The sequence below is a fragment of the Homo sapiens genome, chromosome 6, assembly GCF_000001405.40.
Source record: "Homo sapiens chromosome 6, GRCh38.p14 Primary Assembly".
Classification (NCBI taxonomy): Eukaryota; Metazoa; Chordata; class Mammalia; order Primates; family Hominidae; genus Homo; species Homo sapiens.
The window spans coordinates 96,705,395-96,721,623 of NC_000006.12; the positions used below are offsets into that span (position 1 = coordinate 96,705,395).

At 37.5% G+C, this 16,229-nt stretch overlaps 1 long non-coding RNA gene across 1 annotated transcript; it reads right to left on the reverse strand.

Moving 5' to 3' along the window:
* Positions 1-10,086: 10,086 nt before the first annotated feature.
* On the reverse strand, positions 10,087-15,980 carry LOC105377908 (uncharacterized). The gene is made up of 3 exons (XR_942807.4): positions 15,888-15,980; positions 12,504-12,650; positions 10,087-12,368 (listed from the first exon to the last, which is right to left on the reverse strand). It is a non-coding gene; the product is annotated as an uncharacterized LOC105377908 (long non-coding RNA).
* Positions 15,981-16,229: the final 249 nt, after the last annotated feature.

The following is a 16,229-nucleotide window of genomic DNA, read 5'->3' on the forward strand; positions in this document are numbered from 1 at the left end:
ACTGTTGGGAGGTGATTGGATTATGGGGGCAGTTTCCTCCATGCTGTCCTCATGATAGAGAGGGAGTTCTCATGACATCTGATGGTTTTAAAAATAGCAGTTTCCCCTGTGCTCATTCTCTCCTGCTGCTATGTAAGGCATGCCCTATATCCCCTTTGCCTTTTGCCATGACTATAAGTTTCCTGAGGTCTCCTCAGCCATGTGGAACTGTGAGTCAATTAAACCTCTTTCCTTTATAAATTACCCAGTCCCAGATATTTCTTTTTTTTTTTCTTTTCTTTTTTTTTTTTGAGAGAGTCTTGCTCTGGTGCTAGGCTAGAGTGCAGTGGTGTGATCTCAGCTCACCACAACCTCCTCCTCCTGGGTTCAAGCAATTCTCCTGCCTCAGCCTCCCGAGTAGCTGGGACTACAGACGCGCACCACCACGCCCGACTAATTTTTTTATATTTTAGTAGAGACAGGGTTTCACCATGTTGGCCAGGATGGTCTCGATCTCCTGACCTCGTGATCCACCCACCTCAGGCGTGAGCCACCGCACCCAGCCCCAGGTATTTCTTTATAGCAGTGTGAGAACGGACTAATACACCGTGGTATACCACACAATCACTCATTTGAAAGATGTTTACATTCCTCTCTTTGTTGTATTCTGTAGTGTCCTACAATATAATATTCTTATACAAGTGTGCTACTTAAGACCAGCCCTCTGTTGAAATTAGTGAATGGGTAAAGATTAGTAAGAGGCTAAGGGATAAGATCCAGGCAGCTGGTAGCAGCTGGGATGTTGTAATTTAACACAACTCACCGGCTTTCTTGCTATGGAGAAGATGCAGTAGTCAGAACATTGCAGGTGCCTATTGAATATTAAATAATCGTAATTTGTGATTTTTAAAAATTTGGTTGTAACAGACTATAGTTGAATATGAAATATCCTGTAGAAGGACAATGAAGATCATTAATGTTAGGAAAGATATATGCTTTGTAACTAAACTACCAAAATAAGAATAATTACCTCTTACAAAAAGAGTAATGTAAATAAATTTATGGAAGCCAGAAAAATATATTCTTTTTTTCTATTATACCATTTTATAACTTCCCAAAGACCTGATTAATATTCCATAATTAAAAGTGAAAGAAACATAAAAAATGATTTTTTTAAATACCATGGGCTTTTTGAATGCATTAAAGCAATTAAGCGTATTTAAAGTAAATAGAGCTAAAGAATAAAATTAGTGAGTTTGGGGTCAAGAAATGAAGGAATTGGATCACTTAGATACTGATGACAATGAGTCTTGTCAACTTGCAACACAGACAGTTATTATTAATATCATTACACTTGATCTTGCCAAAAAAACCAAGAAGCAATTGTTAATATCATTAAATATGAAAAGTACTGTTATTCCTATTATAGTTCTAATACTAATAGCTCTTTATTAACCAGTATATGAGATTTTGCCATGTCAAAGTTACTTATTCAATCTTAAGAGCCTTATAAAGTAATAAACAATCATTTTTTATTATTTAGTCTTTAGGGAATTTTTAGAAGTATGCTTCTAAAATTTTGAAAATAAAGAAACAACAAAAAATACCAATAGTACTTACTACTCCAATAAAATCACTATTAATACTTTCATGTATTTCCTTTTACTCTTTTTTCCTATGCAGTTTTACACAGACACAATTCCAATATAGAAATATACATATACATAACCTGCATTTTCTGTTTCTGCCAAAAACAGTTTTCCACATTTCTTATCTTAATAATCAGCTTTTATAATTGTGTAATAGTCTAACAAGAGATTATACAATTTTTGACTTAATAATTAGCTCATTTTCAGATTTTTGCTATTAATATTATAAGACATTTGAATGCCTAAGAGCACAACCTAATGTTTAGTAGCAATATCAAATTTGTTTCTATCACTAATTAGCTGCATGGTATTAAATATAATAATGTTTCTCCAACACCTCACACAGAAAGACACATGGTAAGTGCTCAATTACTGTTTGTTGAATAAATGAATGGACCTTGGTTATGGACTGAATTGTGTGTTCATGCACACACATGCAAAATATCATATGTTGAAGTCCTAACCCTTAGTAGCTCAGAACGTGATTGTATTTGAAGATATGATGTTTAAAGAGGTAATCAAGGTTAACTGATGTCATTGGAGTGAGCCCTAATCCAGTATGACCCATGTCCTCATTAGAAGGGGGTATTAGGACACAAACATGCATACAGGAAATTCTGCCAGCAGACTGTCAGAATTAAACAAGAACTGCAACTCTTTTCTGGGTCTCCAGCCTGCCAGCCTAGCCTACAGATTTTGGACTTGCTAGCCTTACAATCATGTCAGCTGATTTCTTAAAATAAATTCTCTCTCTCTGTCTCTCTCTCTGTCTCTCTCTCTCTCTCTCTCTCTTTCTGCGTGTGTGTGTATGTGTGTGTGTGTTAGTGCCATCATGGTGCCTACTTTATTTATATTAAGTAGTAGCACTTGCAGGTCCTCAGCACAGTGTGTGAATCTCAGTAGATACCACTCATCACTATAAATACTACTGCAATGGGCAAGTTCATTCATTTAAGTTTTTCTAAAATTTATACTAAATTTTTTGACAGATTGCTGGCCATTTTATATATATATATATATATATATATATATATATATATATATATATATAGAGAGAGAGAGAGAGAGAGAGAGAGAGAGAGAGAGAGAGAGAGGGAGAGAGCGAGAGAGACGGAGTCTTACTCTGTCCTCTGTCTCCCAGGCTGGAGTGCAGTGGGGTGATCTCAGCTCACTGCAACCTCCGCCTCCCTGGTTCAAGTGATTCTCATTCCTTAGCCTCCCAAGTAGCTGGGACTATAGGCACGTGCCACCATGCCCAGTTAATTTCTTGTATTTTTAGTACAGACGGGGTTTCAGCATGTTGGCCAGGCTTGTCTCAAACTCCTGACCTCAGGTGATCCACCCGCCTCAGCCTCCCAAAGTGCTGGGATTACAGGCGTGAGCCACTACACCTAGCCCATAATATTTTTAAGTTATTGATACATAAAACAATTTTCCAAAGGATGGTGCCACGTGCAATATTATTGAATGCCTACCAAAACAGGATCACTGTTTAAGCCAGGCCTAATGTCTGCATTTTGAAAAATACACAATGAAGCAAATATTTTAAAATTTCAAGTATTAGAAAAAACAATCAAAGTGTTATTTCATTGTCCCTTTATTCTTTATGCAAAACAGTATTACAGTACAGCACGCAAATATTACCACACTGATTTAAGCTGTCTGATTATAATTATTTTGTAGGTCCAAAATAATAAACCCCTCAAAACTGGGGTTCTATTACAACCTGGAGGATTTCTTTCCATCCCTTAAAAATTCTTCTAGGAAATGTGAGTGACAGCAAAGACATAATGTCACTTGAGGTGTCATTAAACCGCAAACTGGCAAATATTTTGAGCAATGCTTTCTCAATGGAAGTTTGCAAGCCTTACAAAGTATAAATACTTATTGTTGCAATGATGCAAAATTTGTCTTTCTGAGGAAGGTGCATTGAAGTCTTTGTGGGAGTTACTTCAGAATAATAGGAAAAGTCACAGATTTTCTTTTCCCAAAGACGAGAGAAAATAAATATATTGTGGGCATTATGAAGCCTTCAAGACTAAAAAAGAAATTTAACCACAGTCTCCTAGACCAACAACCAGTTTTGAAGATGCTGCTTCTAGTATTAGGTATTGTTAATTTTAGGGAAAATAAATTCAGTAGCTAAGACATTACATTTTTGTTTTTTAATTTGCATTTATTTGATTCTGATAAGAAAGATCCTTATCTATGAATTTACTAACTACACTCAGCCCTTCATATCCTCCAGTTCTGCATCCTGTATTCAACCAATGGCAGATGGGAAATATTTGGGAATAAAAAACAATAACAATACAACAGCTAAAAATACAAATAAAAATCAATAAAGTATAACTACTATTTACATACCACTTACATTGTATTAGATATTATAAGTAATCTAGAGATTATGTGCATGGGCTATGCACCATTATACCATTTTATATAAGGGACTTGAGTATCCCCAGATTTTGGTATTCACAGGGTCCAGGTTTGTGATTGGGAGGCCACAAGTCAATGCTGAAATGTCATGAGGAAGTCACTTGGCCACTCTGAGCCTTAACTTTCCTGTCTGCAAAATGAAAACAAAAAAATGAATTCAATGATTGCAGAGTACTCCACTAAGGACAACTTATTTGCAAAGAACAGAGGCTCTCTCAAAATAGTTTAAGTAGAAGGATGAGATTTTTGCTAATGTGTGTTGAATCTCTAACTGTTGTATGGGCTCTCTGTCTGTTTCTCAACTACTCAGCTTTACTTGTCTACGCTTCTGTTGTGTTTTGGCCTCATCCTTTTACTACTGGCAACCTCTCAACACATGGCAGAAAGGAGCTCCTTTGGAAACCTACATCCCTTATTGCTCATGCTTCAAAACGAAGAGAGAGCTTTTTCTCCCAGTGTCCATATGCCAAATCTAGGAGGAACCCTCACTGGGTCACATGCCCATCCCTGGACCAAAAGGCCAGAAAGACACTACAATTAACAGTCTCACCAGAGTTCATAAGTTGCAGAAGAAATGAGTGCTAAGCAGACCAAAATTGGGAGGGAGGAGTCCACCATAGACTCACACGGGGTATGAAGAGCAGGAGCACAGAAAAATAGTCAGGCAACTACCTTCTTTGATGGTCAGTCTCTGGGTCCGCAGGCACTCCCAATCTACTTCTTTTTGAGCATGTGCTCCTTTGTCCTCTCTGAAAAAAATAAAAAATAAATAATAAAGCCTTTTCTTGAAAACTGCTGTTTCTGACTTTCCATGACATTGACTTCCACATGGCTCTGACTCCCCCTGAGGCTGACACTGGCCCACACAATGTGACAGTGCAGCACAGCTCCCCACGGCCCCTGACTGCCCCAGAATCTGTGTCCCAATTCTAAATTTCCAAGAGAAAGAATATGACTGAAGTTGGGTGAGGGGTCTGGTTAAGTTAAATTTACCTCTGCAGTGCTACCAGAGGGTGGAATATTCTGGGAAGGAAATGTGTCTCCTCTCATCCTGTTCCACTCACATCCTCTCTCACTATGATACAAACACACACACACACACACACAAGTGTCTTACAGATTCTCTAAGCACAACGTCTGTCTTGCCTCAAAGCTTTCCATGTACTGTAGCTTCTGCCAAGAATGTTCTTTCTTTCAAAATCTTTATGACATCCAGTCGTTCACCATAATGATGGTTCAGGCAGCAACAGACCACATGTATGATGGTAGTCTGGTAGTCGCATAAGATTATAATACAGTATCTCTACTGTACCGTTTCTATGTTAGATACGTTTAGATTCCCAAATACTTCTCATTGTGTTACAATTGCCTACAGTATTCAGTACAGGAACATGCTGCACAGGTTTGTAGCCTAGAAGCAATAGACTATACCATACAGCCTGGGCATGTAATAGACTGTACCATCTAGGTTTAGGATTGTGTAAGTAAGTGAACTCCATAATGTTCACAAAATGATGAAATCACCTAAGGACACATTTCTCAGAATATATCTCCATCATTTAGCAACACATGGCTGTTTCATCTTAAATATCACCTTTTCAGATAGGCCTTTCTTGCTCACATAATTTAGAGATACCTCCTGAAATTCAGTAGCATTATACCATGTGTTTCTGTGTGTGCGTGTGTGTGTGTGTGTGTGTGTGTGTGTGTGTGTGTGTAAAATCTGTTAACTGTCTATTCTTCTCTCCCTTACTGGTCTGCAAACTTAAATACCAAAAAACCGTAAATTTTATTTTTTCTGAAACTTTATTCTTTTTAGTCTTTATTCCTCTAAGAAGCAGAAACCTAACATAAGTCAATTTCCCTAGAGTTGCAACCATGTTCTGTTGGGGTGTGGGGTGCAGGGAAGCATTGAGTGGGGGTCAGCTCTTCTTCAATATCATCATCTCTCCACGTTGGAGTCTGGTGGAATGACTTTAATCTAGTCTGATATTTAATCATCCATTCATTTCACTGGTGTATCCTCCCTAATTTCCATTTGCAAGTTGTCTAAGATAGTATCTTCAAAATTAAAGTTTTCTCATGAACATATTAGTTTAATAACAGGTTGCTTATCTAATTGAGAAAAGAGAAAATCACCCAGTATATCATGAAAATTATTTTCTTTCTTTGAATGGCTAAGAATTGACACCATTAAGGCGGCAGTGTGTTGCAAGAAGTGGGGGGACTTGTAGCACAAGAGTTGGTCCACAGATTGCATTTAAAGCACTATAAACCCTATAATTTTTACTAAGGCAAAATATTTGGGAAAATATACAGTACTATGAGAACACACAGTATGAAGCTGTCAGTGGTAACAAAGACTCTAAGCGTCTAGTGCGCCTTAATAAAATTTCATATGATCTAAATTTCTTTTGCAATCAATGAGCTACTTAAATAGATTGTATTTGCCTGCCTTGTACAGCATTATTTCTGCCAGCCAGTTGCTATAATTAATTTGTTTTCATCAGTGAAAGTAATGAGCTGTCATTTATTTCGCTTTTCAATTTATTCTCAACTCATTATGTATTGACAGTGTGTTCAGGGCTTCTTAAAGCTGGCTTCTACTATGACACAAAGAAAGGAGGTTCCTTTATTTTCAGACTGCGTTTGAATGGCATATCTGGCTACCTTTCATAAGGGGCATATGAAAGCTCAGGATACTGAAAGAGTTAATATTTTTCACTGGGTTATTTTAATCTATACAAATTACTTACAAAATTTGATGACTACTTTTTTTAAGTAACGAGGTAGGTGGGAATATATGTTCCTTCAACTTTGGAAGTTGATTTTCTTGTGTCCAATTCTCTCTAAGCAGTATTCACAATCCAACTAAATAATGATATTTAAAATATCTTCTAATTATATTACATTATATTTCTTAACCTACTTTGAAAATAGAACACAAATGGTTCATGATGAATCAAAATTTTAACTCTTTCATAATCAGGAGTGTGTGTACCAAGATACTACACAGGACACAAAGCAAAGCTGGCCTCTTAGTGTAACTGTCCTACTAATGAGAAAATTATTATTTCTTAACCTACTTTGAAAATAGAACACAAATGGTTCATGATGAATCAAAATTTTAACTCTTTCATAATCAGGAGTGTGTGTACCAAGATACTACACAGGACACAAAGCAAAGCTGGCCTCTTAGTGTAACTGTCCTACTAATGAGAAAATTCACTCTCATAATAACAAAAAGAGAATTGTTATTCTGGTATTCTGCATGGTCAGGTAGGAAGAACGTGGAATTTAGATTCAAATATCCTGGAGTTGACTCTTATCAAACTTCTGGGGACCTCACAATGAATAAGGTGATAAAGATTATTGTATGGAAAGAACCTACGAGAGTACCCACTGTACCAAAAATACCTTCCTGGACCATAACATGGGGGAACAAATGCCAGCACAGAGGCAGTGGAATTAAAAGCACAGACTCTAGGATATGATTGCTCTAAATAAGAGACTGCTCTCTGTACTTACTGGCTATCTGAACTCAGACAGGTTAAAACTCTCACTTTGCCTCAGAGTTTTATCAACTATAAACTAAAACTAATAAAATAGTACCACTCTCATAGAGTTGTGAGGATTTAATGAGTTATTTCATGCAAGGTTCTGAAGACTTTGTGTGGGATGCAGTAAGAATTAGATGAATACTCACTATGACTATAATGATGCTGATGGCTAAAAGCCATGGTTTGATACTGAATCACCCTCTACTTCACTTCAGTTCTGCTCTGTGGTTCTGATTGCTGCTCCCCAAAAGCCTCCTACTTCCTGTGGTTCCTGCTTTATGGAGTGCAATTGATGATGGTTTCTGCTCTATGGAGTGTAATTGATGACTGTGGGCTAAACTGTGTTAAAATTCATGACATTTTAAGTGTTTGTGTTTTCCTAATTGTAAAAGAGTAACATATACTTGTTGTAGAAAATTAATGTATATGCAATTAACAATTATATAGTAATATAAAATAATTTCTATAAAAGTATAAAGAGAAAAATTAAAATTAAACAAAGTAGGGTTTATATTTTATATATTTCTTGCTATGCTTTGCTAGGCATACAGACAGATGCTCATAGTTTGCATTATTAAATATACACACAGAGAGATCTGTATATCTTGATTTGTTAATCTTTAATCATGAGCATTGCTCAAAGTTGTTAAATTTTATTAAAGATTAATGTTGATAGCCACATAATAGTCCATCATTACAATTAATTCACCAGTATTCCACAGTTAAATATTGAGGTTATTATCACATTTTTGTTAGTATAAATTACACTACAAGAAACATCTTTGTCCTTAAATATTTGTCCATATTATCATCATTTACTTTTACCGTATTTCCAGAAATGAACTTAATGCATTAAAACACATTAAATATCTTGATTGAAATAATTTCTAGAAATTTTATAACATTTTCACTACTTTAGTGGAAAAACAGTATCATAATTGATTTTCAATTATTTTATTACAAGTGGAATTGAACAATTTTCAGCTATTTCTTTATACTTTGGATTTCTTCTGTTGTCTATGTCTTTTGCCTGATTTTCTATAGAAAAATCTCTATTTTATATTGTCCTTTGCCTAATTAGCACCATTGTTAGTGTTTTCCCTATTAAATTGTAAGCAGGGGGACACACTTTCTCACTCATGCTAGTTCCCTCTGTGCGGATGGAGCTCCACTGCCAACCACTTCTGGCACTCTTGCCCTCATGGTCCTTCTAGCCCTAGGGATGAGGAATGGCTGATTGGTGAGTTTGGGGTAAGGAACTGAGCATGTGCAGCTTAACTCTTTCCACAGTGTCCCTGTCCGGCTGTTATAGATACCATAAGTGCTCGTCTCGTCTCATCTGTTCTTCTTTGCTGTAAGTTTTAAAGGAACAGCTTAATTTGGGAGGCATAGGGCTTTCCAGGACTGCCTGGGACCCAGTGCACAGGTCTGCCTAGTTCTAATGTTCAAAGTTAGAAAGCCCACTGTTGCCACTCACAGAGGTCACCCAAAACCCTTCCTCAGTAATAGAAGTAATATTTTGCTCTCTGTCTTTCACTGTTTTGTCTCTCCAATTGGTTCAATCTTGGGTAGAGAAAGCAAGGTGTCATTCATTGGGCATCCTAAAACTCCAAAATCTGTTTGAAACTTGAAAAATATATATATACAAAGCTGAATTTGAGGGACAAAGTAACAATAAAAGATTGGACACTGGAGCAGAAAGTGGAGAGTTTAAAACTGCATGGATTTGTTTTTCCTTGACATGTCACTGAAGTTTATGGAAACTTTGTTCACAGGCAAGTAGTTGTTTTGTACCTCTTCACTGGGTTTAGGAATATTCAAGCAGGCCTCAGCAAAAGCACAGGGTGCCTTGGTCTCAGCATATCTCAATTTCTCAGGCTGCTGGGCATCTGCAGGTGCATACTGCCATTGCTTCACATTGAAACCACACAGGCACCTTAGCAAAAAAATGCAGTTTGAGGGGTGGAGGGAACCCGAGCAGGTACGGGCGGCCATGGGGCCATAGTAAGCGGAGGACTTGATTACACAGGAAAGTGTTCTCATGTCATGCTTTTTAGATATTTGGGAGTTGCATAAATTATTTGAAGCTTTCACTTGGGTTTTTTTTGTATTGTTTTGCCAATTAGATCAAATCTTAAATTACAACTGTGTTCTACAGAAACTACAGAAAAATAGTGTGGAATCTTAGCTTGAACTTGTTAATGTGAGGCCAAAGTAGAGAGTGGCATAGATTTCTCCAAATACTGTGATGTTTCATGTCATTCGGAATTTCATTCATGAAAAATAGGAAATAGTGGAGGAGCTACGCTTGGATATAAGCTTAGCTTAGCTAAGCTCTTGTCCACAAATGCTTAAAACTCTATCCCTCATATAATCTCAAGTTGGCTCTGGATTTTTTAATTGCATAAGTTCTGAAATGGCTTAAAAATGGTGTAAGACACAAGTTGTAGCTGAATTCACAGAAGAGTGGTTTATTTCACCAAAAAAATAAAAATAAAAATAAATAGGGCCTTTAGTATAGAAACAAATGCTAACTTCTTAGGCTCAACTGAAATATTGCAGAACCAAGAAAAAAGGTAATTTAAAAGGCCTGTGCTTGAAACATTCTGCCTCTAGGAATCAAGTTTGCTCAGAAGTCAAGGAAGACTTGACAGTGGCTTTTTAAAAAATTGGTTCAGCCTTCATCTCGGAACAGAAGCAGTAGAAACATGAAAATAAATCAAGAAAGACAGACTAATTAAACTGGAGGAAGAAAAATAATCCTCAGGGGAAAGGTTAAGCTCTGAGGAAATGGGTTATGTGGATATTAAAGGAAACATAAGGTCTTGAAGGCCAGAATAGATCAATAATGATGAGAATATAAAATAAATAATAGTGTTATATGATAATAAATTAATAATAAAGGAGCATTACACCCAGGTGTTGTGAGGATAAAATGAATTAACATATGGAAACTCCTTAGAGCAGTGCCTGTATGTGGTAAATGCTCTACCTGGGTCATCTGGTGCCATTATTATCAGTACTGTTAAGTTTAGAGGAGTAAAGATACGGGCATAATAAGCAGAATAAACTGTTAGACACCAGGGCAGAAAAGAGAATAAGGATATGTTAGTAGAAACTCTCTCACTTTGGCCAAAAACAACAGAGAATTAAAGCTAGTCAAGGCTTCCGACATCCAAGAACTGAGGAGCAGTGGTACTCTGGGGAATAGGGGCAGAGGCATAGGTCCTCACCGGGCTCTCAGGTATTTCTATTCAGAAATCTGAGGCGATTCTCCAGCTGAAACAACGAGGGATTGGAGGGATCCCATCTTTCCTGGGAGTGAGTCTTCCTAAGTGAAAGCAGTTTCATAAGAAGAGATAGGGATCATATCCCCTGTGGCCAATGACCCACATACCCACTCACGTGACAGAGCAGTGCCCTCCAGAGGAATCCCACCCTCACTACATTCTGGGGACCATAAACACCATTTTTGGTCTTAGCACTCTATTTTGTAGTTGTTGTAGTTACCTTAGCCTTTTGCCTTCATTTTCCTTATTTAGTTAATGGTTCTGCCTGTTGCACTCTAAACTCCACTGGAACATAACCTGGGTCTGTCTTGTTCATTCCCAAATTTCTAACACTTAGCACAATGCCTAGCGTATACTTGTTGAACAGATAAATACATGGGATAGCTATTGAAGATGCTAAAGAGTTTTCTTCAGTTTCCTTTTGGTCCTGATCATTTCAAAGCACATGATTAAAAATATAATTACACTTTGGAATTTTAAATTTATATTATTTTCCCATTCTTCCTATATATTGAACATAAGCTTCATGTTCTAATGAGGGAGTAGTAGGTCACAAACTCAGTTGCCTGCGGGGACACTGAGTTAACACAGATGACTAAAATGATCGGCCTAAAAAACTGTAGGGCCAAAACTGTCTAGCTCCAAACCTAATACCTAATTATATTTGTTCTTGGTTATGGTCACATCTTCCTACTTCATTTCATCTCTCTCTCCCTCTCTCTGTCTCTCTGTCTCTCTCTGTCTCTATTTCAGACATTGTCTATAAAAGGATAGTAGAGACTAAAGTCAAAATTATCCCCCCTTTTTTCAGACAGGGCTTGCCTTTCCTCTGTCTGGCAAATAAGGTGAGGGGCCGATCACCTGGTTCTAATCAGGAGTTGAGCTGACTTGGGATGGATGCAGCTTTAGAGAAAACCCAGCTCGCTTCATGTTGGAGATTGTGTTTATTACAGGTCTCTCCTCTAGCAGAGCTTCATCTACCGAAGCCCCTGAAAACTGGGGTAAATTTGCCTTTGTTTTTCTCTCCAGGCCCCATCCTTCCTGTTCCTCAGCACTTAGCAGACATATGCATCTGTGGTTCCTCTAGATTCCAATCAGAGTCACCCCATTGTTAGGTTTGGCCAGGGGAGAGCGAGGGGAAATTATGTAAGCTAGTTCTGAGCAGAAGCTTGAAAAACCACTGAATATTTCCATGCATATACTTTTTTCCCTCTGCCATGAGACTGGCATGTCTGTGTTCGTTTCTTAGACCTGCCAGATAAGGTACCCACAAAACTGGGGCTCAAATAACATAAATTTATTGCCTCACACTTCCGGAGCCTAGAAGTCCACAATCAAGAAGTTCAAAGGATTGGTTCTTTCCGAGGACTGTGAGGGAAAGATCTGTCCAGGCCTCTCGCCTTGGCTTGTGGATGGCCGTCTTCTCCCTGTGTCTCTGCACATCATCTTTCCTGTAAACCAAAAATAAAATTCTAAACCCCCAACCAACTGAATAGACCCCTCCTCTCACCAAGGGCATTCCAATTAAGCTGAAAAACCAGTTCAGGCCATGATGGGAAATAGGGGTAAGATGTGCCTCATTATACCTTCCTCCCGTTGGAATTCAGGCACAGCTGACCAGCATTAACATCAGCACAGAGACCTGAAGACTGATGAAACACTTTTGTAGCCGTAAGACGCCAAATTCCAGCCTGATTCTAGTGTCGCATCACTTGACAGATCATTGGTACACCCTGAAAGAAATAGAAGTATTTTACCCCAAAATATATTTCTTTGACATATTTTGAAATGGCTCTGCAAAGGTATCTCTTGTGGGGAAAATCTACATTCTGTAGGGAATCCCTGTTCCTTTCCAGGTTTCTTCCCTGACTCAGGAGAGAATTAACAGAGTCTGGCACCGATTTAGGTCTGATAAGAGCTCTGAAGCCTGCTACCTGGAGGCTCCATCCGCGTGAAAAAACCTTGTTCTCACAACCCCTTATCTTAACCCAGACATTTCTTTCTATTGATTCCAGGTCTTAATAACTCTTTCAACCAATTGCCAATCAGAAAATCTTTGAGTACACCTATCACCTGGAAGCCCCCACTTTGTCTTGCCTTTCCAGAAAGAACCAATGTACATCTTACATGTATTGATGATGTCTTATGTCTCCCTAAATTGTATAAAACCAAGCTGTAGCCCTGCCACCTTGGGCACATGTTCTCAGGGTATCCTGGGGCTGTGTCACAGGCCGCTGGTCACTTATATTTGGCTCAAAATAAATCTCTTCAAATATTTTACAGAATTTGACTCTTTAGATCAACATGCCTCTGTGTGTGTCTGTCTCTGTGTCCAAATTTCCCCATTTTATAAAGACACCGTTCATATTGCATTAGGGCCTATCTTACCTAATTGTATCTGCAATGACTCTCTTTCCAAATCAGGTCACATTCTGAGGTACTAGGGATTAGAACTTCATCATATGAATTTGGAGGGGATCATAATTCAACCCATAACAGTGTCAGAAATTACAACTGCTTTTTCATCCTGAATCCAGGAATGAAGAAGACATGTAGAGCAAAGCCTTCAGGGCCTTACAGACCCATAGTTGACATGCAACATTAGACATAAATAAACCTGTATTATTGCAGGCCACTGAAAATTCAGGGGTGGTTTGTTACCACTGCCTTACTTAGTGAAAATTACTTAACACAGCATCTAATATGCATTAACTCAATGTATTTCTTTTGGTTTCAGTTAGTGTCATGGGTTAAATTGTGTCTCCAAACAGATAAGTTTAAGTCCTAGTCCCTGATATCTGTGAATGTTACCATACTCAGAAAGAGGTTCTTTGCAGAAGTTAAGGTGAACTCACACTGGATTAGTGTAAGCTCTAAATCCAATGACTGGATACATACAGGGAAGAAAGCCATGTGAAAACAGAGGCAAAGATGGAGTGATGCATCTACAGGCCAAGCGCCAAGTATTGCCAGAAGCTACCAAAAGCTAGGAAGAGGCACAGTAGGATTCTTCCCTAGAAACTTTGGAGGGAGCGTGGCCTTACCAACACCATGATTTCAGACTTTTATCCTCCAGAATTATGAAAGAATAAACTTATGTTGTTTTAAGCCATGCAGTTTGTGGTATTTTTTAACAGTCCTAGGAAACTAATACAGGTAGAATGAATCCCTACTCTCACTGCCATGTTTCTTTGCACTCTGTTTCCTCAAGGCCAGTAATTCTCAATGTAGTTCTCTCATCTTTATAGTTTGTGAAATGCCACAAAGATATGGTAACAACTTGTCTGAAAGTGTCTTGGTGGTGGTGTGTGCTTTATTTTGTCTTTCTGTGTATAGCCATTGATATTTCAGTGGAAAGTTAAAAATGTGTGCCAGGTGCTCCTAAAGCTGATACTCTATAACTCTCATATTTAATATGTTTAAGCATTTAGGAAACAATTTTCCATTGAAAACTGAATATTCCAAATCAACTGTGGAGCAGTAGTCAAAAATACCAGGGAAAAGACTAGACGTAAAGTGCAACACTTACTTCAGGAAACCAATGCCTCAAAACCCCTGTATCTTAAGATCCAATAGGCTCAGTTGTAAGGAACTCCACCTGCCTGCACATTTCTGCCCTTTATCTATGATACCTTCAGGACACTAGAAGGGAGGTAATAATTTTATTATTAATTTTACTGTAATGATTTAGGGTCACTATTTGGAGTGCAGCCATAGTACTCTCTTGCCCAGACACCTTCTGATAGAGCGCAAGGAGGGCAGAGCAGGGAGTCTAAGCACACAGGCTTAGACACAAGCATTATTGCATCATGCTTCCCTTCAAATTGGCCCCAGCAACAATTAAGTGAGCCAGTATTTACCCCAGGTGAGGAGGCACCTGTGACTGACTTCTCCAGCCTCAGAGTGATTCAACAGGAACTGTTTCAAGCAGCAGAGAATGACTGAGGTTGATGGTGGCTTTTACAGAGGCAGCTGGGAATCAGGGGCTTACAGCTTCATTAGGGTCAATAATCTAATGAACAGGACTCAGGGATTAGATTAATCATTACTACTACATTTATACTTATTATATTTTCTAATTCAAAAGAATTGTACAATCATTGAAGAATAATTCAAACACTACAGAAATATGTGTAAAGTCAAAGTCCCCATAAACCAGCGTTGTACCCAAAGATAAACATTGTCATCTGTGTGATACACAAATGTCTAGAAATTTTTTCTCTAATAATATAGCCCCCTCCCCCTTTTTGACAAATTGAGATTGTACTACACTTTTTTTTTTAACAATTTGCTTATTGAACTTAACAATATGGAGATACCTTTACAATTTTATATGTCTACTTGTCTTTTTTATTTTACTTTTTTAAAACAATGTTATCATTTTCATAAAAATGAAACATTCCCATTCCAAAATATTTAAGCTATTCAGAAGAGTACAAAACAGGTAGCAAATATATATAATGTCAATAATTAAAAATACATCTCATTAACATTTGATGAACTTCATTCCAGCTATTAATTTGTGTACAAATATATGGAGAATAAAAAAAGATATATGGATACATTTATAAAATAATTTTGTAATATAAATAATATTTAAATAAAAATGTAATTTTACTTTAAACACTAGAAAAATAAATTGAAATAAAATTAATAGAAGTCAGACAAGCAAGTGTCTTCTGACAAAGAATTAGTTGGTTAAGGTTATGGAAAAATCCAAAAATCATTAAAAGATTCGGTTCCATTATGTTGTTTTAAACTATATACTTCAAGTACCAACAATGTCAATTGACTCTCCCCTATGAAAGATAAGAAAATATTACTCTCATACTGCCTCCCTCTCCTGACTTCTAGATTTGAGTTAAAGCACTATTTTTATTTCGTCAACCAATCCCGTTATTATTTTGCCTTAGCTTCACATATAAATGCATTTAATATTGTAGCAGACACTACCAAACATTTGTTCTTACCCCTCTTTTCTACTCCAAAGAAATCCATTTTGTTCCAGTTCTTAGCCCTTTTCTCATGGCTGTGTGCTTCAGGATAAGCCTAACTCCGAGAGTAAGTCCTAATTAGTCAACCCCGGTGATCTCATTCTCCTCACCAATGATTGGTTAGTATCATAGGCATGTGGTACAATTCTGGCCAATGAGACATGAGGATAACTAATAACTTCCAGGAAATATTTCCTAACTTTTAAAAGGAAACACACAGAAAAAGTCTATTCCTTTTCTGAATGTGATTGCATTTGGCTGTGATGCCTGGATTGTTGCAGCTTCTTTGAATCCTGAGAGTAGATCTCATAGTTTGAG